The sequence below is a fragment of the Homo sapiens genome, chromosome 14 (genome assembly GCF_000001405.40).
Source record: "Homo sapiens chromosome 14, GRCh38.p14 Primary Assembly".
NCBI classification, from domain to species: domain Eukaryota; kingdom Metazoa; phylum Chordata; class Mammalia; order Primates; family Hominidae; genus Homo; species Homo sapiens.
Window position 1 is genome coordinate 70521771 of NC_000014.9, and position 24203 is coordinate 70545973.

Genomic DNA, 24203 nt, shown 5'->3' on the forward strand with positions numbered 1-24203 from the left:
AACAAAGTAGCTACAGAAGGCACCTAACACTCCTAGGGCCAGGAGAACAGAAGAAAGAAGTTGGGTTTACTAGAGTGGCGATGATTAAAGAACATTCCCTGCAGAGCAAGGACCCAGACCTCTAAAGATGGCACAGTGAACAGCTGCTGCTGCTTCAAGAACTCAGAGGACCACAACCCTGCTCACTCCCGGACCCCTAAGGAGGTCAGTGTCCAACTGCTGCTGGTATTTCTAAGGAAAAATGAGGGTGGTTCTAAAAGTGACAACAGAACTGGAATCTGAAACCAAATATAATTGCCAGAGTGAATGGCCCCAACCAAAATAATGGTGACACTCATGGTAAGCACACAGGAAAGAAAGCTCCCTTCTTCCCTCATCATCACTCCAGGCTACTTCTACTGCCCCCTTTGGCACAGCTGAATGTGCCAAACAGAAATGAGTTGTGTACAGGCACATCCTGAACATTACATAGTACAGCAAAAAAAAAAAAAAAAAAAGAGAGAGAGAGAGAGGAGAGTTAAAAATGAGGGACAACAGCTTGAAACTATCTTTTCTGTGCCTTTGCTCAGGAAACATAAAGACACAACTTCTGGGAAAAGGAACCTTTAATATTGCTTAAGACACTGTAGAGTAAGTAAGAATAGGCTAGGAATCCTTTGCTGTGATAGCTAATGCTTGCAATCCTGACATGAAATGTCCATGAAGTTTTATTTAAACAGTGAGACATGGCTTCATATTTTTCTATTAAAAAATTGGATATTAAAAATGAAGTATAAAGTTTAGTCTCCTTCTTTTTCCCATTTCTCTTATCCTTCTTCATCTTCTTTACTTTTTGTGCGTTTCTTAAAAAGCACATGTAAGCAAAATAATAAAAAAGCAACCAAAGGAAGAAGGCACAATAGTGACAGGTAACGCAACTTTCCCATCACATTTAATCCTTCCATGTTGTTCTTAGGAGGTGGGCCACTATCAGCACTACCTCCATAGCCTTTGTCCTTGCAGTATGGGGGTGCCCATTCATGGTTGCAGTGACAGTGTTGTTTGTTGTTGCAGATTCCCCTCATGTTGCAGGTCTTAGGCTGACAGGCTTGTGACAGATGAACCATACTGGCACACTTCTTACGGATGCAGATCTTTTCTGGACCACATACTGTGCCATCTTTCACCTCACCAATATCAGGTATAGCCATCCCTAAATGATAATCAGTGCCCCAGCAAGTGGTGTCATTGAGGTGAAACTGCTGCACTGTAGAATGCTCTATCAGATTGGGAATTACTCCCACATTTTCACACTGAACCCTCCCACACATGATATCAGGGGTCCAACATTTTACATATGTTGTGCCTACAATACCACAGTGACCGAAACGGTTTCCTTGGGTGTTGATTTCTTGGTAGCAACTCTGAGATGCACTCCTTGCATCTTGGCCAAAAATCTCTTTACATTGTATATCATGGTTATTACACGTCTTTTCATAGCAGAAGGCATTCACATTACAGGAGATCCCGTCCTGCACATACACATCATCTGGGCATTGATGGGATGTCCCATTGCACCACTCTGGAAGGTCACATTCACCAACTTGTTGTCTACATAAAGTTCCTGATGGCAGAAATTTGCAGTCTTTGCAACATATTCCAAAAGCACAAGCAGCCCCAGGATGTAGAGTACAGTTTAACAGACAACAGGGATCTTTTGCACACTGCCGTATGGTTCCACAGTCACATTCCTCCCCTTCTTCAACCACTAGATTCCCACAGTACTTCAGTCTAAATATATTCCCTGGATATGGAGGCGGTTGAATACATAATCCACTACTGATAGTACTGTCCCAATATTGGGCATAACTGCAGTTGCTAAATTTAGTTGTCACCTTTCTATAGGCATGCATTATGCACCACTGTAGCTCGCACACACACCACTGGGTGTCATGTTGCATACCCAAATTATGACCAAGCTCGTGGCCCAAAGTAATTGCAAAAACGACCAACCTGTTGTCTTCAAAAACATCAACTCCAGTATTAAAAGGATTCTGGCATATTCCTTTAACATAGGCAACACCAAGCTTCATGCCTTGTGTGTCTTTTATGAAAAGATGTGCAACATCATGTTGTAGTCGATTATTAAGGTTATAATTCTTCCAAATAGAAAAGTCCTCTAAAACATTATCTAGGTCTCCACTGGTAGGAAGTGGATTTGATGCAGTCCATATATCAATTCCAGTCAAAATTACATCAACCTCCAAAGGATGATAGAAGGAATCCACTATATTGACAACGTTAAATACTTCATGCTGCACTGTTGTTGCATTACTTTGAGAGAAAAGATATCTAATATTATCCACGACCACTACCAGCTCAACAAACCGCTGATGGGTCCACCAGCCCACAAAAGAACTTTGCTTCAGAGTGAAATTATATGACAATTGCAACTCCATCTGGTGTGCTATTTTCTCTTCTGTTAACCCACATCTCATAGGTGGAAACTGTGTATCATCACTGTCTATCTTATATACTAGGTGTTCAAATGTGGCAGAAACACTAATTGGCTTGATTTCATAAACAAGGTCATTTATCTGTAGCATTCCAAGAAAGCCCCCAGAACAGGTACTAAGGGCAACCAAGGACTCAGGGACCCCCTCCACATAACCATGGTAGTAGCAGTCATCCTGGATGAAGGGCTGATCCTGGAGCAGGGCATGCTGCTCTGTGTAGGTGAACACAGGAAGGTGTGCAGCAAACAACAGCTTATTTACCCTCATGTGGACAATGTATCTCTGTCCCCCAAACCGCAGGCTATAGGAGAGCCATCCAGGAGCCTTTGCACCTCTGCCCCTGCTGATCACCTTCAAAGGGATCACCACTTCTGGAGAAGTGAAATACTGGGAGGGCCTGGCCTGAGAGTGGCCAGAAATAGACAAAAACATCCCAAACCAGAGCAGCAGAAGAGTGACCCTGATGTGCACCAGGGGCTCACCCACTGCCATTATGAAGCTGTCATTATGGAGCCATCTGTCTAGAGCAGAAGAGAACAAGGTGTGAGGCACTGCTGGTCTGGCTCCTCCCTCTGAGCTGTTCAGGGTGCATGGCTGACCTTTAGGGATCTGGGGATCTGTGTCCTGGTGGAGCTGGACCATCAGAGCTGCAGTGCTGAAAATAAAAACTGAAAGAGCCAGGATGGGGTGGGTGGGATAGAAAGGGAGAAAGAGAGAGAGAAAAAAGGCAAAGTGATTCCTGCATTTGGACCATATTTGAAGCAATAAAATGCATTAGGATTCTCTTAATACATATGGCCAAGAAGATTTCCAGATAGGGGAGATTGCACATAGGTGAGTTATTACCAAATTTTCATGATGGATACCTAAAGATTCATTATATACTGTTCTTAAAATATGTAAAATGGCAAGACATTTTCCATTTTATTTTAATGTATGTATTTCTTTTATTATTTCCTTATTTTACAGATGGGGTACTGCTCTGTTGCCCAGGCTGTAGTGCAGTGACACAATCACAGCACATTGCACCCTCAAAGTCCTAGACTCACGAGATCCTCCCACCTTAGCCTCCAAGTAGAACTGCAGGCATGCATTGCAACAGCCAGCTAATTTTTCTTTTTGATTTTTTTTGGGGGGATAGAGATGGAGTCTCACTATGTTACCCAGGCTGGTCTCAAACTCCTGGTCTCAAGTGATCTTCTTGTCTCAGCCTTCCAAAGTACTGGGATTACAGGCATGAGCTGTCATACCGAGCAAAATTGTTCATTTTAAAGACACTGGATTCTGACACAAATCTTTCTTCCAACCAAAAACCTACTGGCAACCTGCACATTCAATAAGTATATGGACAACACATCCAAAATCCACCATTCTTTGTTCCTTTATTCATGTAGTTTGCTCCATCTCCCCTCTTCTATCCCAGACATTTTATGTATACCTAATTGTGCTCTAAATTGATAGTCAAAAAAGCCCCACTAAAAGGGCTTACTAGTATTGAGAAACCTCCTCCAATCAAGACTTTTTAATTTTATAATATATTCTTATCTGCAGAAAAGCCCTGGGCATTCTAAGGAAGGAAGGCATGTGATAGGGTAACAGGGAGTGAGGCAGCTGTTTTGGGACAGGGCACACAGCCAACTAGCATCATGATCTCTATCATAAGAGGCTCCTCCTGGTCATGTCAATACAGATTTGATTCTACTTTTCACATGGCTGATGAGTTACCTGGATCTACACATTTCAATCTCAATGTTCCAAAGAAAGCCTACACAGAGGAGCTTAAGCCTAGAGTCCATTCATTCTAATGTTCAGAAGACCACAATTTGAGTAGACTTAAAAACCTCATTACTGTTGAAAACAAATTTTGGCTCAAGTAAAAGCTAACTTTGCTCAGTTCCTGACTTTCACTTAAAAATGTTGTTAATGATTTGCTCATATTTGAAATCAAAATGTTAAAACAAATTTGGAGACACGTTGTTAACACATACTGGTGGCCTCAATATTCTAAGAGCACAAATGAGCATGTGCAACCTCCTTAGCATTATGATGTCAAGAAAACCTCTATCCCTCCATGTGGGTGTCCAGAACTAATGGATGGCCACCGGATGCCACAAGAGGAAATCAGGATCACTAGATGAGACCTCTTAGGTAAAGTATATCTGATAGAGGTGAAATCCCAATTTAGATTTCCTCTCCATAGCTCTCCTCATAATATCCTTGGTATGTGTCATAGAGTTTGGAACATTAAGATGGAAATGGGTGAATTGAGAGAGGATCATGACAGAAAAAGCCTTGTAGAGAAGATAAAACCTATATTACATATAGTCAGAAATATGATGAGGTTATAATACAAAAGTTTATTCCAAAGAATCTGTGATAGGCCAGTCCTTGTCATCAATGCATTACTCCAAAGACAAGTCTTAAAGGAACATTGCCTTCCCATTAATTTTGTGAACGGGTGTATTCTGAAGGCCTTTCCTCTAATATTACTGGGATTTCAACCACTGTGAGAATCTTCCTCTGCATCAGTAATTAACTCTTTCTTCTAATTCCAGTAACAATTTAAAACTCATCAACACCCTATCTTATGATCTCTCCCCTCACTCACAGTCACAGCCTAATTTTGTGTTTCTCAAACTCAGGTCACAAACTGTAAATCAATGTAGTGGGCCACAACCAAAGGAAACACAATTGTGTTGAAAATATCAGAGGGTTTTACACAGATCCTTAGCAAGACCTTCAAACACTGTAACCAGAGTTTATATTTAATTTTCTGTGTCTGTGTTTGTATCTGCACACTCCCATGCTCACTGAGTCTCAATGTAAACTAAGCTAAATTTCTTATTGTGGGTCACAGTCAAAATCCACTGGAAGAGCAGTAGCCAAATAATGAAAATGAAAGATTTTGGGGAAAACTCTGTCCCTCTTTCTTTGCTGAAAATAAAATCCTATCTGAAACTACAGTCATTCTTATCTCTCCCTGGGATCTTGGATTCAATTTCAGTGAAAGATGTATCTTCCTCCAGTTCCAGCTCATAGCCCCTCTATCTGTGCTATGAATCCTATAGCCTTACCTACTTGAAGATTGACTCAACTGTCAGATTTATCCTCAACTTTTCCTTCATTACTTTCTCTTTATTTCCAGTACATGAACATACTCAAATCTCTACTAACCTTAAAATATTTATCTTCCTTTATTCTCACATACTCCCATGGCTACCACCTTGCCACTAGAACTTTCTCTCTTTAATGGACAAGAATCACTTACCAGCAAACTGAACAATTATGCCCATAGTTCTTTTAATGGCCACGCTCATCAGTGGTCTGTATTGCCCCCTCAAAAAACAAATATAAGAACTGACATCTCACATGTCAAAAGTAAACAAATCTCTGTAGATCTCACAGAGGATTAAGTTCTTAATCTCGCTGCTCAGCAACAAGGTCCTCTCAGTTACAGATCACACCATGTGGCTCTTAAAGTCAATTGACTCTGCCTCCACCACCTCTATCCAGTTTTCTTTTTCTATCCCTCCCCTACATGCAAGTGTCAGGTCAGCCTCTTCAACCCCATCTTATGAGCTCCACACACAGCATATGCTCACTTCTGCTTTAGGAACTTTGTTCATGCCCTACCCTTATCTAAATCATCTAAACCTTTCCTCATTCTTGAACCACATTATAGTATCCTTCAATGTTTAGATTAAATTCAACTTCTGCTTTGCATCATTAATATTCTGTAAACTTCTGAATAAGCATCATATCCTGTGTTTGAAATATTTATGTATATGGTCTGCTTTTTTATGTGTGGTTCTACCACATCACCAGTTAAACTATAATTTGGTAGAAAAATATAGCAGAAATATTGTTATTGATATAAAATGTTCATACTTTTGGCTAAAGAAAGCTTAGTATCCTTAATATAATTATGTTAAACCTGCATAAAACAAAGGTGAATGTGAAGTTCAATACAATATTAAAAGCAACTGAATGATGATGCACTCGCAGTGGGCGGGGGAGTTTGGAACAACAATTGGGAGACAATTTTATATCTTTGCCATCTACTATCTTCTTTTTTAGATATGGTTGTGAGGAAATGGATCAGAAAGTGAATAGATAAGGATCACTTAGGTCCATCTTCTAAGAAAGTCCTTTTCATTTTCTTTTCATGATTGTATTAATAACTGGATACTTTATTTCTTTTCATGATTATATTAATCACTGGATACATAGGTTTCCCCTAATGTATAGGGGGTTGAACTGTTCCATATGTCCAGGTAGAATTGGAGAATCCTTCTTAGGATGTGTTAAACAAAAAGGTTTCCTCATTCCAGAGCTTAGTGGAGATAATCTGACCATGCCAGATTTGACTGACAATGATGAAAGAAATTGTCCAAGAAATGAGAGGCTTGGGAAAATACACAAACCCAAACCTGGAAAGGTTTTGACAAGGACACAGTAGATGATGCTATCAAGAAGAGAAAACTATAAACAGGCTGATAGATGGCCACATGAAAAGAGAGAACCTCCTTGAGTCTGACAGAATGGGCAATCACCTGGAACATCTGTGTTAGACAATGACTGAAGCTTCCTAAAGCAGGTTTGACTACATCTTGTTTGTAGTAAAAATAATTTCATATGCATCTAAAAGCAAAACAAACTGTTACAAGAGACAAAAGATGAGACTATATAATGATAAAAGGGCTCAATTTATCAGGAAGATATAACAATTAGAAATATATGCACCCAACATTGGAGAACCCAAATGTATGAAGCAAACATTGACATAATTTAAGGGAGAAATAGATAGCAACACAATAATAGTAAGATATTTTGATACCCTATTTTCAATAATGGATAGAACATCCAGACAGAAAATCAATTTAAGAAACTGACTTGAACCATACTATAGACCATATGGACCTAACAAACACACACAGAACATTCTACCCAACACATCAGAACACACATTCTTCTCAAGGGCACACAAAATATTCTCCAGGATAGTTCACATATTAGGTCATAAAACAAGTCTTAACAAATTTAAGATTGAAATCACCCCAAGCATCTTTCTGACCACAATAGAATGAGACTAGCTATCAATAATGTAATGAAATCTGAAAAATTCACAAATACACTCATTTATCACTTAACAATGGAGACAAATTCTGAGAAATGTGTTGTTAGGTGATTTCGTCATTGTGCAAACATCATAGAGTGTACTTCTACAAACCTAGAATGGTATAGCCTACTATACACCTGGGCTATATTGGATAGCCTATTGTTCCTATGCTACAAACCTGTACAGCATGCTACTATACTGAATACTATAGGCAACTGGAATACAATGGTAAGTATTTGTGTATATAAACATATTTAAACATAGAAACAGTAAACATATGGCATAAAAGATATAAAATGGTTCACTTGTTTAGGGCACTCATCATGTATGGAGCTTGCAGAACTAGGAGTTTCTCTGGGTAAGTCAGTAAGTAAATGGTGAGTGAATGTGAAGGCCTGGGACATTACTGTACACTACTGTAAACTTTATAAACACTGTGCACTTAGGCTACAATACATTTATTTTTAAAAATTTCTTTAATAATAAATTAAACTTAGCTTACTATAACTTTTTTACTTTATATACTTTTAATTTTTCAACTTCTTGACTGTTTTGTAATAACACTTAGCTTGAAACATAAAACATTGTACAGCTGTACAAAAATTTTTACATCGTAGGCCAGGCATGGTGGCTCACGCCTGTAATCCCAGCACTTTGGGAGGCCAAGGCGGGTGGATCACGAGGTCAGGAGTTTGAAACCAGCCTGGACAAGATGGTGAAATCCTATCTCTACTAAAAATACAAAAATTTTTATATCCCTATTCTATAAGCTTTTTCTATTTTTAAAATTATTTTTTCTTACTTTTAAAATTTTTTGTTAAAAACTAAGACACAAACACAAACATTAGCCTAGGTCGTCACAGGGTGAAGATCATCAATAATCACTGTCTTCTGCCTCCATATCTTGTCCCATTGGAAGGGGCAATAGCATACATGGAGCTGTCATCTCCTATGATCACAATGCCTTCTTCTGGAACACCTCCTGAATGAACTGCCTGAGGCTGTTTTACAGTTAGCTAACTTTTAAAAAATATATGTAGAAGTATACTCTAATATAATGATAAAAAGTATAGTATAGGAAATCTTTTATCATCATTATCAACTTTATGTACTACACATAATTGCATGTACTATACTTTTATATGATTGGTAATGCATAGGTTTGTTTACACCAGCATCACCACAAACACATGAGTAATGCATTACGATGTGACATTAGATGGCTACAAAGTCACTAGACAATAGGAATTTTTCAGCTCCATTGTAATATGAGACCACTGTCATATATGCGATCCATCATTGCCCAAAACATTCTTATGTGGTTCATCTGCAGATGGAAATTAAACAACACCAACCATTGGGTCAAAGAAGAAACTAAGAGGGAAATTAGCAAATATCTTGACATAAAAATGAAAACACAGCATACCAAAACTTATAGGATGCAGCAAAGCAGTCCTAAAAGAGAAGTTTACAGAGATAAATACTGACATTTAAAAAAAAAAAAGAGAGAGAGAAATCTCAAATAAACAACCTGACTTTACACCTTCAGGAACTAGAAGGAAAGAAGAAAAAACTACGCTGAAAGTCAACAGAAAAAAGACATAAACATTGGAGCAGTAATAAACAAAATAGAGAATAGACCATTTAAAAATCAATACAAATTGGTATTTGAAAAGATCAACAAAATTGGCAAACCTTTAACTAGAGCAGCTAAGAGAAAAACAAAACAAAAATCAGAAATGAAAAAGGAGACATTATAACTAATGACTTAGAAATAAAAAGGTCTAAAAGAAATTACTATGATACAAGGATAGTTTAACATTCAAAAACCAATCATTGTGATATATCACATTCACAGGCAGAAGGATAAAAATTACATGATCATCTCAATAGATGCAGAAAAAGCATTTGACAAAATCCAACACACTTTTTTGATAAAAAATACTTGACATTCTAGGAATACAAGAAAATGGTCTCAACATTATACAGGCATGTATGGAAAAGTACACAGCTAACATTGTACTCAATGATGAAAAACTGAAAGCTTTTCCTCTAAGATCTGGAACAAGGCAAGAATATCCATTTTATCCACTTCTATAAAACAGTATGGGAAGTCCTAGCCAGAGAAATTAGACAAGAAAAAGAAATTAAAATGTCCATATCAGAAAGGAAGAAGTAAAATGATCTATGTTCACGGATGACTTGATCTGTAGAAAACTCTAAAGATTCTACAAAAACAAACCTGTTATAGCTAATAAATGAATTCAACAAAGTTGCAGGATACAAAATCAACTACAAAAGTCACGTGCATAATTATATACTAACAATAAATCACCTGAAAAATAAGAAAACAATTCTATTTACAATAGCATCAGAAAGAATAAAATACTTAGGAATAATCTTAAATTTAAAAAATTAAAGACATGTACACTTGAAATCACAAAACCTTGCTGAAAAAAATTAAAGAAGACATAAATAAATGGAAAGACATCTCATTCATAGACTAGAAGACTTAATATTGTTAAAATGTCCACACTATCCAAAGCAATCTACAGATTCAATAGAATCCCTAACAAAATCTCAGTGGCATTATTAGCAGAATTAGAAAAACAATTCAAAATTTATAAAGAAGCACAAATGGCCCCAAACAGCCAAAACAATCTTGAGAAAGAAGAATAAAGCTGGAAGCCTCATACTATCTGACTTCAAAATATATTATAAATATACAGTAGTAAAAACAGCATGGTACTGGCATAAAAACAGACAGAATACAGAGCCCAGAAGTAAACCCAGACATGTATGAATAAATGACCTCTGATAAAGGTGCCAAAACTACACAATGGGGGAAAAATAGTCTCTTCCATAAGCAGTATTGGAAAAACTGGATATCCACATGCAAAAGCATGAAATTGAACACTTATACAACACAAAAATCGCTCAAAATGAAATAAAAACATAAAAATAAGACCTGAGACTATAAAACTTTAAAAAAACACACACGAGAAAATCTTCACAGCATTTGTTTTTGCAATGATTTCTTGGGCATGACACCAAAAGCACGGGCAATAAAAGCAAAAATGAGACTACCTCAAACTAAAAATCTTCTTAACAGCAAAGGAGACAATCAACAGATTGGAAACAGATGGGCATGTAGTGGCATCATAATTATTTAAATTACCATCCAATGTTAATTGTGATTAAGTTCCCTATTGATGCAAGTATGTAGGGTGACCAAGTGACTGCTGTAATTATAAGTACATCAAGGATGGAGGAGTGAGATAGCTATACTTAACTATATTGGCATTTTACATGATAAGGCCCAAGGCCCTAAATTCACAGTGGCCTACATGACAGGAGAAGTATTTGCCAAACATCTATCTGATACCTGATAAGGGTTACTATCCAAAATATATAAGAAACCCATAAAACTCAAAAGCAATAAATTAAGTTTTTTCAAAATACAAAGTTGGGCAAATGACCTGAATAGGCATTTATCCAAAAATATATATATATGGCCAACACCATTTATGAATAATGTTATAACACATGAAAAGATGCTCAACATCACTAATCATGAGAAAATACAAATCAAAACCACAAAGAGATCTCACCTCTAGCTTGGATGTTCTGTACGCTCCAAATTTCATGTTAAAGTGTGACTTCTGATACCATCTCATGCCAGTTAGAATGGCAATTATTAAAAAGTCAGGAAATAACAGATGTTAGAGAGGATGTGGAGAAATAGGAATGCTTTTACACTGTTGGCGAGAGTGTAAATTAGTTCAACCATTGTGAAAGACAGTGTGGCAATTCCTCAAGGATCTAGAACCAGATATACCATTTAACCCAGCAATCCCATTACTGAGTATATACTCAAAGGATTATAAATCATTCTACTATAAAGACACATGCACACGTATGTTTACTGCAACACTATTTTCAATAGCAAAGACTTGGAACCAACCCAAATGCCCATCAACGATAGACTGGATAAAGAAAATGTGGCACATACATACCATGGAATACTATGCAGCCATAAAAAAGAATGAGTTTATGTGCTTTGCAGGGACATGGATGAAGCTGGAAGCCACCATTCTCAGCAAACTAACACAGGAACAGAAAACCAAACACTGCATGCTCTCACTCATAAGTGGGAGTTGAACAATGAGAACAAATGGACACAGGGAGAAGAACATCACACACCAATGCTTGTTGAGGGATGGGGGGCAAGGGAAGGGAGAGCATTAGGGCAAATACCTAATGCATGTGGGTCTTAAAACCTAGATGATGGGTTGATGGGTGCAGCAAACCACCATGGCACATGTATACCTATGTAACAAACCTGCACATTCTGCACATGTATCCTAGAACTTAAAATTTAAAAAAAAAAAACCCTCTTAGAAAAAATAACATTCAGGCTGGGCACGGTGGCTCATGCCTGTAATCCCAGCACTTTGGGAGGCTAAGGTGGGTGGATCACCTGAGGTCAGGAGTTCGAGACCAGTCTGGCCAAAATGGTGAAACCCGATCTCTACTAAAAATACAAAAATTAGCCAGGCATGGTGGTGGGCACCTGTAGTCCCAGCTTCTCAGGAGGCTGAGGAAGGATAATCGCTTGAGCCTGGGAGGCAGAGGTTGCAGTGAGCCAAGATTGGGCCACCGTACTCTAGTCTGGGCGAGAGAGCAAGACCCTGTCTCAAAAAAAAAAAAAAAAAAAAAAAAAACACACACACACACACACGCACACAAAAACACTTAAATGTATTAATCTTATCCTAAATTATTTTATGTTTTATTTTATACTTATAGAAGCCTTCCCATGTATCACATAAAATTCTCATGCTTAAAAAAAATGTGACTTCCAATGCTGGAGGTAGGAAAGTAAAATGGCACAGCTGCTATGGAAAACAATATACAGGTTCCTCAGAAAATTAAAAATAGAACTACCATATGATCTAGTAATCCCACTTCTAGGTATTTATCCAAATTATCAAAATCGGGCTCTTGAAGATATCTTTGCATTCCCATGTTAACTGCAGCATTATTTACAATAACCAAAAGGTGGAAAAAAAATGTAAATATTTCCCAACAGACGCATGGCCCAAAAAAGGAAGGAAATCCTGTCATATGCTACACCATGGATGAGCATTGAGAATTTTATACTAAGTGAAATAAGCCAGTCACAGGACAAATACAGAATGATTCCACTTACGAGGTATCTAAAGTAGTAAAATTCTTAGAAGAAAAAAAATAGAATGTTAGTTGCCAGGTGCTGAGGGATTAGGGAAATGAGGAGTTCCTGTTCAATGGATATATAATTTCAGTCATACAAGATGAAAAAGTTCTAGAGGTATGCTGTACAATAATGTGCATATAGTTAATAATACTGTAGCTCCTTCTAGCAAATCTTACCTCTGTGTCTTTCAGTGTTCCATTTTTATATTTTCAGTCCTCTAATAACTTTTTAAATTTTTCCTATATTAATTTTCCTTGGTGTGTTTTTCTTTTTTGGACAGGATATTGACAGACACAAGACTTGGTACTAGGAGTGATACCAAAAAAGAAAGATAAAATGGGAATCTGAGATTGATGTGGGCATGACCCTAGTCTTAAACACACTGCTGAACTCCCATCCAATGGAGAATGGCATGTAATGACATCACAATTAGTTACTACTCAATGTTGATTGCAGTGAACTGCCCTATTGACCCAAGTGTGTAAGGGGATGAAGTGACTGCTGTGATAATTACTATGAGTACCTCAAAGACTGAGAGGTGAAATAGCTATATTTAATTTAATGTAATTAAGCTAATTTAATGTAAACTGGGAAATTTACATGATGAGGCCAAAGTCTTGAAATTCACAGTTCAAACAGGGAGCTTATAATGGTGGACCTAAAAGAATCTCTCCTTTGTTTTAACCATACAACCAAGCTCACTGAAAACAAAATTTAATTGAAATGCTTGCAGAGTGACAACATAAGTTGAATACATAGATACGTCAAGGGAAAGGGAAGAAACTGACTGGGAAGGGGGAAAACTTTGAGACTTGAAATAGAGAATTCCTGGTGAATTTGGATGATTTTAAACATGTAAACATTCCAAAATATCCCCTAGTCTCCTTTACTAGTGAAAGAGCCCAGAGCTCTCCTGTCTGAGAAGTCTATGCACCTCAAGCTTGAGACCTTACAATGAGCTCAGCTGGGGAACTTATCCTGAAAACGGATGCCTAGACTCCTCAAGACATACTCCTACCACCCCTTATTGGCTCTAGATGCAAAGAAGAATCAGATCTCAACACGCTCCAGAGCAAAAAGTTCCAAATCTGAATTGGAAGGAAATAACTTCTACTCCAAAATATTTGCAACATTTTACTAATTCATATTAGCAAAAGAAAGCCAAAGAAACCATACTAATAACAGAAATGATGAAACAGCAACAAAAATAAAGTGGATATACTTTATAGAATGAAATTCAACAGGAATTTGTATTTAACAAAATAGCTTCAAAATATATAAACGAAATTGTAAGAGATATAAAAGGATAAATAGAAAACTTCAAAGTCTACTTGTTGGTATAAAACGCTTCATTCAGTAACTGATAGAACAATTTAAAAAACAATTAGTAAGGAAATAGAAAACTTAAGAAATGTTAATCAAATTAACCTAATGTACACATGTAAAAACATCCAACAATTGCAGCACAGTTATGAAGTTCAAATGTGCATGGGACATATACCAAAATACATAATATCCATGGGCATAATGGAAGTATCAGCAAATCCTAAAAATAAGAATTGGGGCCAGGCATGGTGGCTCACACCTGTAATCCTAGCACTTTGAGAGGTTGAGGCAGGTGGATCACCTGAGGTCAGGAGTTCGAGACCAGCCTGACCAACATGGTGAAACCTTGTCTCTATTAAAAATACAAAAATTAGCCAGGCGTGGTGGTGGGCATCTGTAATCCCAGCTACTCAGGAGGCTGAGGCAGAAGAATTGCTTGAATCCAGGAGGCAGAGGTTGCGGTGAGCCTAGATCACAACATTGCACTCCAGCCTGGGCAACAGAGCAAAACTCTGTCTCAAAAAAAAAAAAAAAAAAAAAAAAAAAAAAAGAATTGCACAGTGTATGTCCCTTAATGACTACAGAATTTAAAAAGAAAATTATATAACTACAAAGAGCTATTTACAGAGCAGGAGCATCGCTGTCTTATAAAAGCATCACCATTTTAAGGTTCACCTTGATCAAAAACTACCTAAATCCAAAGTGCATCAGCCTAATGGCTAAGGCCAGCATGACCATAAACCACAAATGACATCTCCAACCAGAAACATTCCAACCATAAGATAAACCTCTCCCCAACCAGAGACATGCCAGCCCCAAGATAACCTCCCCTCCAGCTGGAGAGATGTCAGCCCCAAGATAACCTCCCCTCCAGCCAGAGACATTCCAACCCTGCCATAAACTTCTCCCCCACACAGAAACATTCCAAGCCTGTGATAAACTCTCTCACCCTAAAACCAATAAAAACTCTTAGTCCATAGGAGCAAGCACTCCTAACCAAAAAAAAAAAAAAAAATTGTCCAGAAGCCCCTCTCAGGTTTATTCTCCAAAATAAACTTGTCTTTGACTGTTGAGCCACTTTTCATGTTTCTTTTCTCTTTCTTTACTTCTTACATTTGGTGCTGAAACCTGGGATGGGTGTTGGGGATACAGGCTGTCATGCAACCCAGGAAGCAGTGGACAGCAGCTGCTCATCCCGCTGGATCCTGAGAGTCTCTGGCCACCTACCTCATCTTGTCTCTCACTTCACTTTTTGAGCAATTTGCATGAGGAGGACAACTAACCTCAAGGGGACTGTGAGGGCTCAGGTTGGGGCTACTCTCCAGTGAGCCCTCAAAATCCTCAGGTCTCAGGAATCCACCTCTGACCACCCATAACAGGTATTTCGCTTTCTCCTCTCCTCTTTCCTCATACTTCCTTCACTCTCTTCCTTGTACAGCTCCAGTCCAAGAGGCCCTTTGCTGATTCCAACCGCAACATCCAACATCGGCCACTAATTCAGCCAGCTGGTAAGATCTGCCCTCACCTGCTGTTCTTACAGTACCTGGGGAAAGTGAGGTCTGCTGTCCCAGTCCTTGGAGGACCAGTGGGACTAAGCTGGAAGAAATCTTGGGTATGTCCAGTTTCTTCTCAGCTTGACGTCCTCTTGAGAAAGAGGATTCCAGGTTTCTGTCTTTTGTCTGGGGACAACTGGAACAAAAACAGACACCCTCGGCTTCTTCTTGCCAGTCTACATGGGTGCCAAACAATCCCACATTCCTCATCCTCTCCACTGGGCTGTCTCCTTCACAACCTCGCCAAACTTGACATATGCATTTAGTTTTTTATTGCAACATGGCCTGGACCCAATACAAATTAAATAATGACAGCTGATGGCCCAAAAATGGCACCTTTAACTTTCAAATTCTCAGGGACCTTGACAACTTTATAACCAGGAACAGTAAATGGCAAGAGGTTCTCTATATTCAGGCTTTCTTCTACCTTATATCCCAACCCTCCCTGTGTCAAGCTTGTACCCCTCATGAAATCCTTTTTCTTAATGAAAACCCTCCCTGGGTCTCTCCTTCCTCCAAAACTTCTTCCTTCAAAACTCCTTCCTCCGAAATCCCTTTTGACCCTGCAGATGAATCCCCTCCGTATTCTCATCCCCCTGCATCATGATGCTCCTCATCTGTCTGAACTCTCTGCCCCGGTGTCCCGCCCTGCCCCCAAGCCCTCAGCCCCAAATCCCACTCCTCCTCCTTCTCCACCTGCTACCCATTCAAAAACCATCTCTGCTATTCTCTGTTTCTGAGAAGTGGCTAGGTTTGAAGGCACTGCTCGCATTCATATGCCTTTTTCCATGTCTGATTTGTCACAGATCAAACAGCATCTGGGATCTTTCCCGGAAAATCCCCCTCATTATCTCAGGGAATTCCTGGCACATAACCTAATCCTTTAATTTAACTTGGCATGATATTTATATAATTCTAACTTCCACCCTCACCCCGATGAAAAAGAGTGCTCAGCTTAATTAAAATGAATATCCAAGCTGAGTATATTCAAAAGGCCTTTATGTTTTTCTCTTCATAAATCTTGTTTTCCTGGAAAAGGTTTTTTCCCAGTTAACTGAATTACTTTTGTCCACTTTGTCTTCCCATTCTTGGTGCATGTATGAAGAACACTAAAATGACTTCTGGTGTCCTGGGACTCATTGGGAAAACAGAAAAGGCACCAAAAATCCTGTTTCAGGAAAAATCTGTTTTCCTCACAGAACCCCTGGAATTAGAGGTGGATAAGTACTTCTCAAAATCATCTTTGTCTTCCAGCTATACTTGTTTATTAGGCCCTGGAAACTGTTTTCCTAGCCCTGTTTTGTTTTGTTTTTTTCTGAGATGGAGTCTTGCTCTGTCACCAGGTTGGAGTGCAGTGGCACGATCTCAGCTCACTGCAACCTCCACCTCCCGGGTTCAAGTGATTCTCCTGCCTCAGCCTGCCAAGTAGCTGGGACTATAGGTACGTGTCACCATGCCTGTAGGGAGACCCCCTGAAACTATTGCTATAAAATAAAAGATGAAATGCTCCTGATTATTGTAAATACAAAATGGCATGCAGGATTGTGTAAAGACAATGCCAGGTTGGACTGCCAGAACGAGCCAACAGTGCATGATGTGCTTCCCCCCACAGAGAGCCTATGAATGGACGTGCAGTCAGAGAGGTTTCACATCACCAATTCCTGTAGGGAGACCCCCTGAAACTACTGCTATGGAATAAAAGATGAAATGCTCCTGATTATTGTAAATACAAAATTGCATGCAGGATTGTGTAAAGACAATGCCAGGTTGGTCTGCCAGACGAGCCAACAACGCGTGATGTGCTTCCCCCTGCAGAGAGCCTATGAATGGACGTGCAGTCAGGGAGGTTTCACATCACCAAGATTCCTATCCCAGAAAAGCAGATGTTCATAGCTCTGGGAATGGAATGCGACCCTTGTGGGGAGCCTATAAATGGACGCATGAGGGGCGCCTGTCCATGTGGATAAGATAGGGCTATAAACGCCCTCATCTTGCCACGGCTCTTCTAGGCCTCTTTAGGGTTAAGGCATACTCCCTTCTGAGAATTTGTGGTCTAACTGGTTGTCTAGCTTCACATCCTGTTTCTATGGATTGTTTGTAACCAGCTTTTGCTGCAACTGTTACTGCTGATTAATATCTTGCTAATCATAGGTTATGGAAAGACTGTGTTTCTGTTTTAAGGCTCTGTTAGAAATTACTGATGCACACACTATATTGTAAATTCTTATCTCTGTATACTGTACTTCTGCATACAGATGTTATGTTAAAGAATTACTTCATCCCCATGTGACCATCTCACCTCATAATCAAATGACCCTAAATCCTTCACTAACCTACCCCTGCCCTCACTAAACTTAATAATAAATGCTAGTATATTCAGTGCATTGGCAGCACCATGGGACCAGAAGGCGGTGACCCCCCTGGACCCAGCTTTCACTATCTTGTGTGTGTCTATTATTTCACAACCTGCCGATCCGCCTGGGAACAAAGAGAGAGCCCTGTTGCATTGTGGGATGCTGGCCAGGTCCCGCAACACACGCCCAACTAATTTTTGTATTTTTAGTAGAGATGGGGTTTCATCATGTTGGCCAGGATGGTCTCAGTCTCTTGACCTCGTGATCCGCCTGCCTTGGCCTCCCAAAGTGCTGGGATTACAGGCATGAGCCACTGTGCCTGGCCCCTAGCCCTGTTCTTAAAGGGCCTCACCCGAAGGCCAATAATCCAATTGGGTAATTAGCCAAAAAAAAAAATTATAACTATTGGATCTTCTTCTGGTTGTCTGTGTGTGGCTATATATGTGTTATGTGTGCAATGTCTATTTTTAAAAAGCTCTAATTAATTGGCCTAAGAAAAATAAGTGCTTAAATCAAATATTTTTAAGGGAAAAGTAAAAGCCATGGAAACTTTCAGTTCACATGACTTTAACCTTTAAAACTTAGTGGCACAGTAAGATTAGAAATGTCTTAAGAGTTGCCACCATATATTTTTATTTGCATTTATCGATCAAGCAATTTTATACTTATCTCTGCCAAATACTATAAGGTATCAACATTTGTCATAGAGGCTACAAGACTATAACTCAGCCCAAACAGAATAATCTTTGCTTGTGTAATTTTTTTAACAAATGAAACATTAATATTGGTTTAATAAAGATAGCTACATCTTGAACTATTTAGTGAAATGCCCTAACTTCTAATCTTGTGGCCTTAGGCAGTCTAGTCCACAGACATGAAGGAAGTTTGCTTTGGCAAAGGACTATCATCATCTTTAATATTAAAGAGAATTTATATAAAAAATAATTTTTTTTTCTTTGAGACAGAGTCTTGCTCTGTTGCCAAGCTGGAGTGCAGTGGTGTGATCTTGGCTCACTGCAACCTCCATCTCCCGGGTTCAAGAGATTCTCTTGCCTCAACCTCCTGAGTAGCTGGGACTATTGGCACATGCCACCACGCCCAGCTAATTCTTGTATTTTTAATAGAGACAGGGTTTCACCATGTTGGCCAGGATAGTCTCGATCTCTTGACCTCATGATCCACCCACCTCAGCCTCCCAAAGTGCTGGGATTACAGGTGTGCGCCACCACGCCCAGGCAAAAAATAATCTTATATGGTAAATTCTTGTCCTAAAGTAAATTAACTGGTTAAGGAAAGGAATGTTTACAACAAGTCAGAAATTCGAGGCATGTGAGAGATTGTCTGAAGGTCACGAAAAATTTTATAAAAGGCAATTTATGCAAGAAATGTACAATTTAAAAGTGATTAGGCCTCCTCAATGCTTTATAAAATGCCACTAATAAGCTTAGCTGTACAATTTGCATGGTTTGCAGCTAGGTAAGACCTAGGACACATTTTTACCTAGATTAAAAGGTTAAAGAATTGTTTTAAGTTGAATAAAATAAAAATGAAGGGTTAAGCGAGTTTTGAAAAGTTAATTGTAAAGGAAATTCTGTAAATTGAGCATTAAAAGCACAATGGGTTTTTTTAAAACACTAACCTGCTCTTTTACAAAAATTATACAGGGTTAAAAAAAGGTCTATAAAAATCTTACCTTACGGTCAAACATTAAAATGAGGTACATGTGTCTAAAAGGTTTTATTAAAAATTGAGTTTAACATTAATAGCACACTAATATAAAGGTAAAACTTGGCTTATTTGGTATAAAAGCATACAGGAAGCACTGTCAGATATAAAATAGTGTTTGGTTTTCTTTGGACTATATTTGTATAAATATGTTATTGGTATGTGTTCCAAAGTTATGGGAGACTCTTATAATTCTGATATCTTACTGTACATTATCAGTAATAATTACACTATACATTATCAGTACAGTAATAATTATAATTGTTATGTTCAAATTATTGTGTGCCACAAAGGTAATTGTGTCTTTAACTTTGGCTACCCTAAAACTTTTTGTCATCCATAAACAATTCTTGTCTGGTTTATATAAGTGGTTTTATAACTGCTGTGAAGCTCTAACAGGTGCCCTTGAATGAAGGATTTTGATAAAAAGTAGGACAGGAATTAACTGCATGAACTGAACTAATAGGGAGACTAGAGTGATCTTTTTGATGTTTTGTTTAAAATATTGCTAATCCTTTGTTTTGCTTTTCAAAGTCAAATAAACTTTCCTTTTGAGCTACTGACAGCTTTTAAAAATTTAGTATACTCCCATGAACAAAATTTGGAGCATACTTGTTTCTCTCTACCTGATTTTCTCCAGAATTTGGAAACTATCTGTGAGTATTCTTAAGTTATGGCAATATAGTTACATATATAAGTTCAATACGAATCTGTTTTCTTTTACAAGAGGACACAATTGGAAAAACTGGTTATTTTTACCAAGGCTTTGAATGGAATGGTGTGCTTTCCTTTAAGGAATCAAACTTGACTTATGAAGCTAATAAACCCCTTTGGAAACTGGCCTCATATTTTGTGTACACAGTCCCTGTACAGGGTTTCTGACCTGTGATAAGTAAAGAATGTCACTTTCTGACAGGCCAGGAACCCCAAGTTATCTTGGAACCTCAAGAGGAGATGAATTCACCCAACTCATAGGTATTTGATGGTACAAATCCATGGCTGGGCTTGGCTTTAAAATGGTCTTATCAGATTCCAACTATGGAACAAAGTTCCGTCAAAGCCAATTTAAAAGGCCTATGTCCAGGCATGGTGGCTCACGCCTGTAATCCCAGCACTTTGGGAGGCCAAGGTGGGCGGATCACCTGAGGTCAGGAGTTCAAGACCAGCCTGGCCAACATGGTGAAACCCTGTCTCTACTAGAAATACAAAACTTAGCTGGGCGTGATAGCAGATGCCTGTAATCCCAGCTACTTGGGAGACTAAGGCAGGAGAATCGCTTGAACCCGGGAGGTGGAGGTTGCAGTGAGCCAAGATCACACCACTGCACTCCAGCCTAGGGGACAGAGCAAGACTCCATCTCAAAAAAAAAAAAAGAGGCCTATGTAACAAATAATTATTCTTGCTGTATTGTATGCAAATAATTAAACCAAGTATAATAAAGCAAACCAGTCCTACTGTGATTTCTTTTAATAAAAATGGGAAACTGGAGAAAGAAAATTATGTTTCAAAAACTATTGCACACCTGTTGCTAAATTCTAGTGTTGCCTAATGTTCTTCAATTTTTATTATTTTCTACTGTTTAAATTACATTCCAATACCCCCTACCTCACCAAATACTTCTTGTCATTCCTACCTCTCTTTTTAAGCCAAATATTAAAACTTTTTAATGGAAATTATTTACTATGCTACCCTTGGGGGAATGCTTTACCGACTCTACTATTTGCAGTAGGACTATATACTGTAGCACCCTTAGGGTGGAATAGCAGACAGAATCTCAATTACTGTAGCATTTTGCTTAATTATTATCCTCATAGCAGGAATAACAATTACTAATAGAAAATAACACATGGGCCTTTCCAAACATGCATCTCTGCCTTTTATTGGGTGAGAAATGTTGTTTCTATCTCAACCAGTTGGGTCTAGTATGAAACACTGCTATATAATTTAAAGAAGGGGCTAAAAAGCTAAAGGAATACCAAAACAACCAAATAGATTATTGGTTTGGGAACAAAATAATAGCATGGGTCATCCCATTCTTGGGCCCTTTCCTAATAATATGCCTAGGACTAATGTTCTTACCCTGCCTACTAAACCTTTTTCAAAGATTTTTAACTGACAGGATCATGGCCATTTCACAGACAACTACTCAAAAACATCTAGAGATGGCATTACTCCTACAGTCACTCTGAGACCAGAAAACTCTCCAACCCCTTGTCCACAGGAAGTAGCCAGAAAGAACACGCCATCCCTCGTCCTTTTTATAACTATACGGTCTAGATTGACAGAGCAGGAGCATCACCATCTTGGACAAGCACTGCCATTTTAAGGTTCATCTTGATCAAAAACTGCCTAAATCCAAAGTGCATCAGCCTAATGGCTAAGGTCAGCATGACCATAAACCACAAGTGACATCTCCAACCAGAAACATTCCAACCATAAGATAAACCCCTCTCCAACCAGAGACACGCCAGCCCCGAGATAACCTCCCCTCCAGCTGGAGAGATGTCAGCCCCAAGATAACCTCCCCTCCGACCAGAGACATTTCAACCCCGCCATAAACTTCTCCCCCACACAGAAACATTCCAAGCCTGTGATAAGCTCTCTTATCCTAAAACCAATAGAAACTCTTAGTCTGTAAGAGAGAGCACTCCTGACCAAAATAGGCCAGAAGCCCCTCTCAGGTTTATTCTCCAAAATAAACCTGTCTTTGACTGTTGAGCCGCTTTTCATGTTTCTTTCCTTTTTAACTCTTACAGGTAGAAAATAATTACATGCCTCAAAATTAAAGAACATCCTTCTAAATGACCATGGTCCAAATATATTCAAAATGCATAATAGAAAATTTATAACTAGTAAGGAAAATACTACATATTAAACTTGTAGGATGCAGCTAAAGCAGTGCTTACATGGAAATTTCTGGCTTTCATGGTATATATGAGAAAGGAGAAAGACCGAAAATATTTTATATAAAAAGTGATTTTTAAAAATAACAGAGAAAATACCTAATTAAACCTTTAACAGAATAAAATAAAAACTAAGAATGAAAGTACAAAATAATTCATTACACAGTAGGGTTAACAATAATGTAAATTTCAAAATAGCTAGAAATATTGAATTTTCTCATCATAAAGAAATGATAAATGTCTAAGGTAACAGATATGCTAATTACACCAGTTTCATTATTACACATTATAAACATATATCAAACATCACACTATATCCCATAAATATGTATAGTCATTACATGTCAATTAAAAATAAATTTTCAACATTAATAGATGTTTAAATTTTTAAAAAATATTTAAAAATCAAAGACAAAAGCTGGTTCTTGAAAGTAATAATAAAATTTATGAATATCTAGCAATATTGATCAATATTAATAGGGAAAACAAAAATTGTAAGTATTAGTTCCTATACATATTTTCAAAACAATGAGAATGTACTAAGGAACAACTTTATGGCAATAAATTTGAAAATTTAAGCAACATGAGAAAACACCTTTAAAAATACAATGAAAAGATTTTTGGGTGGAGCAAGATGGCTGAATAGAAAGCTCCACTGATCATCCCCACTGAAGAAACACCAAGTTTGACAACTATTTACACAAAGGCAGCACCTTCATAGGAACCAAAAATCAGGTGAGCATTCACAGTGCCCCGTTTTGACTTCTTATTGCTGAAGAGGGTAGGAAAGACAATCTTGAATTGCTGACATGACCCTTCCCCCATCCCACCTGGCACAGAGAATCTGCGCACTTGGGAGAGGGATGGTGCAGAGATTGTGAGGTTTTGCATTGAACTCAGTGCTTCCCTGTCATGGCAGAAAGCAGAACTGGGCTGTGCTCACCTGACACCTGCCCAAAGAGGGAGCATCAACAATCTGCTGCCTACAAGAAATGTACTTCACCTATAAAGACACACAGAGACTAAAAATAAAGGGATGGGAAAAGATATGCAATGCCAATGGAAACCAAAAAAGAGCAAGAGTCACTATACATATATCAGACAAAATAGATTTCAAGAAAAAAAGAAGAGACAAAGAAGGTCATTACATAATGATAAAGGGGTCAATTCATCAAGAGGATATGACAATTGTAAATATATATGCACCTAACACTGGAGCATCCAGATATATAAAGCAAATATTATTAGAGCTAAAGCAAGAGATAGACTCCAATACAGTAATAGCTGGAGACCTCAACATGCCACTTTCAGCATTGGACAGATCTCCCAGGCAGAAAATAAAAAAGAAATATCAGACTTAACCTGCAGTATGGATCAAATGGACCCAAAAGACATTTACAGAACATTTCATCTAATGGCTACAGAATATACCTTCTTTGCCTCAGCATATGGATCATTTTCAAGGACAAGACCACAAAACAAGTCTGAAAAC

General features: G+C 38.3%; 1 protein-coding gene and 1 long non-coding RNA gene across 3 annotated transcripts in view; one reads left to right on the forward strand and one right to left on the reverse strand.

The window, feature by feature from the left end:
* Window positions 1-587: 587 nt before the first annotated feature.
* The window catches only part of ADAM20 (ADAM metallopeptidase domain 20), a 57095-nt gene continuing 33479 nt past the window's right edge, over window positions 588-24203 (reverse strand). Inside the window, exons 1-2 of one of the 2 annotated variants that reach the window (NM_003814.5) lie at window positions 13027-13234; window positions 588-3163 (exon numbers count right to left, since the gene is read on the reverse strand). In NM_003814.5, the coding sequence (NP_003805.4) occupies window positions 807-2987 (2181 nt within the window). In that variant the 5' untranslated portion in view covers window positions 2988-3163; window positions 13027-13234 and the 3' untranslated portion in view covers window positions 588-806. Of the gene's footprint in view, window positions 3164-13026; window positions 13235-24203 lie in introns of those variants that run through there. The other variant, XM_005268151.4, reaches the window with a different exon arrangement.
* LOC105370556 (uncharacterized) lies at window positions 4576-17102 on the forward strand. The gene is made up of 3 exons (XR_007064239.1): window positions 4576-4643; window positions 15615-15684; window positions 17050-17102. It is a non-coding gene; the product is annotated as an uncharacterized LOC105370556 (long non-coding RNA).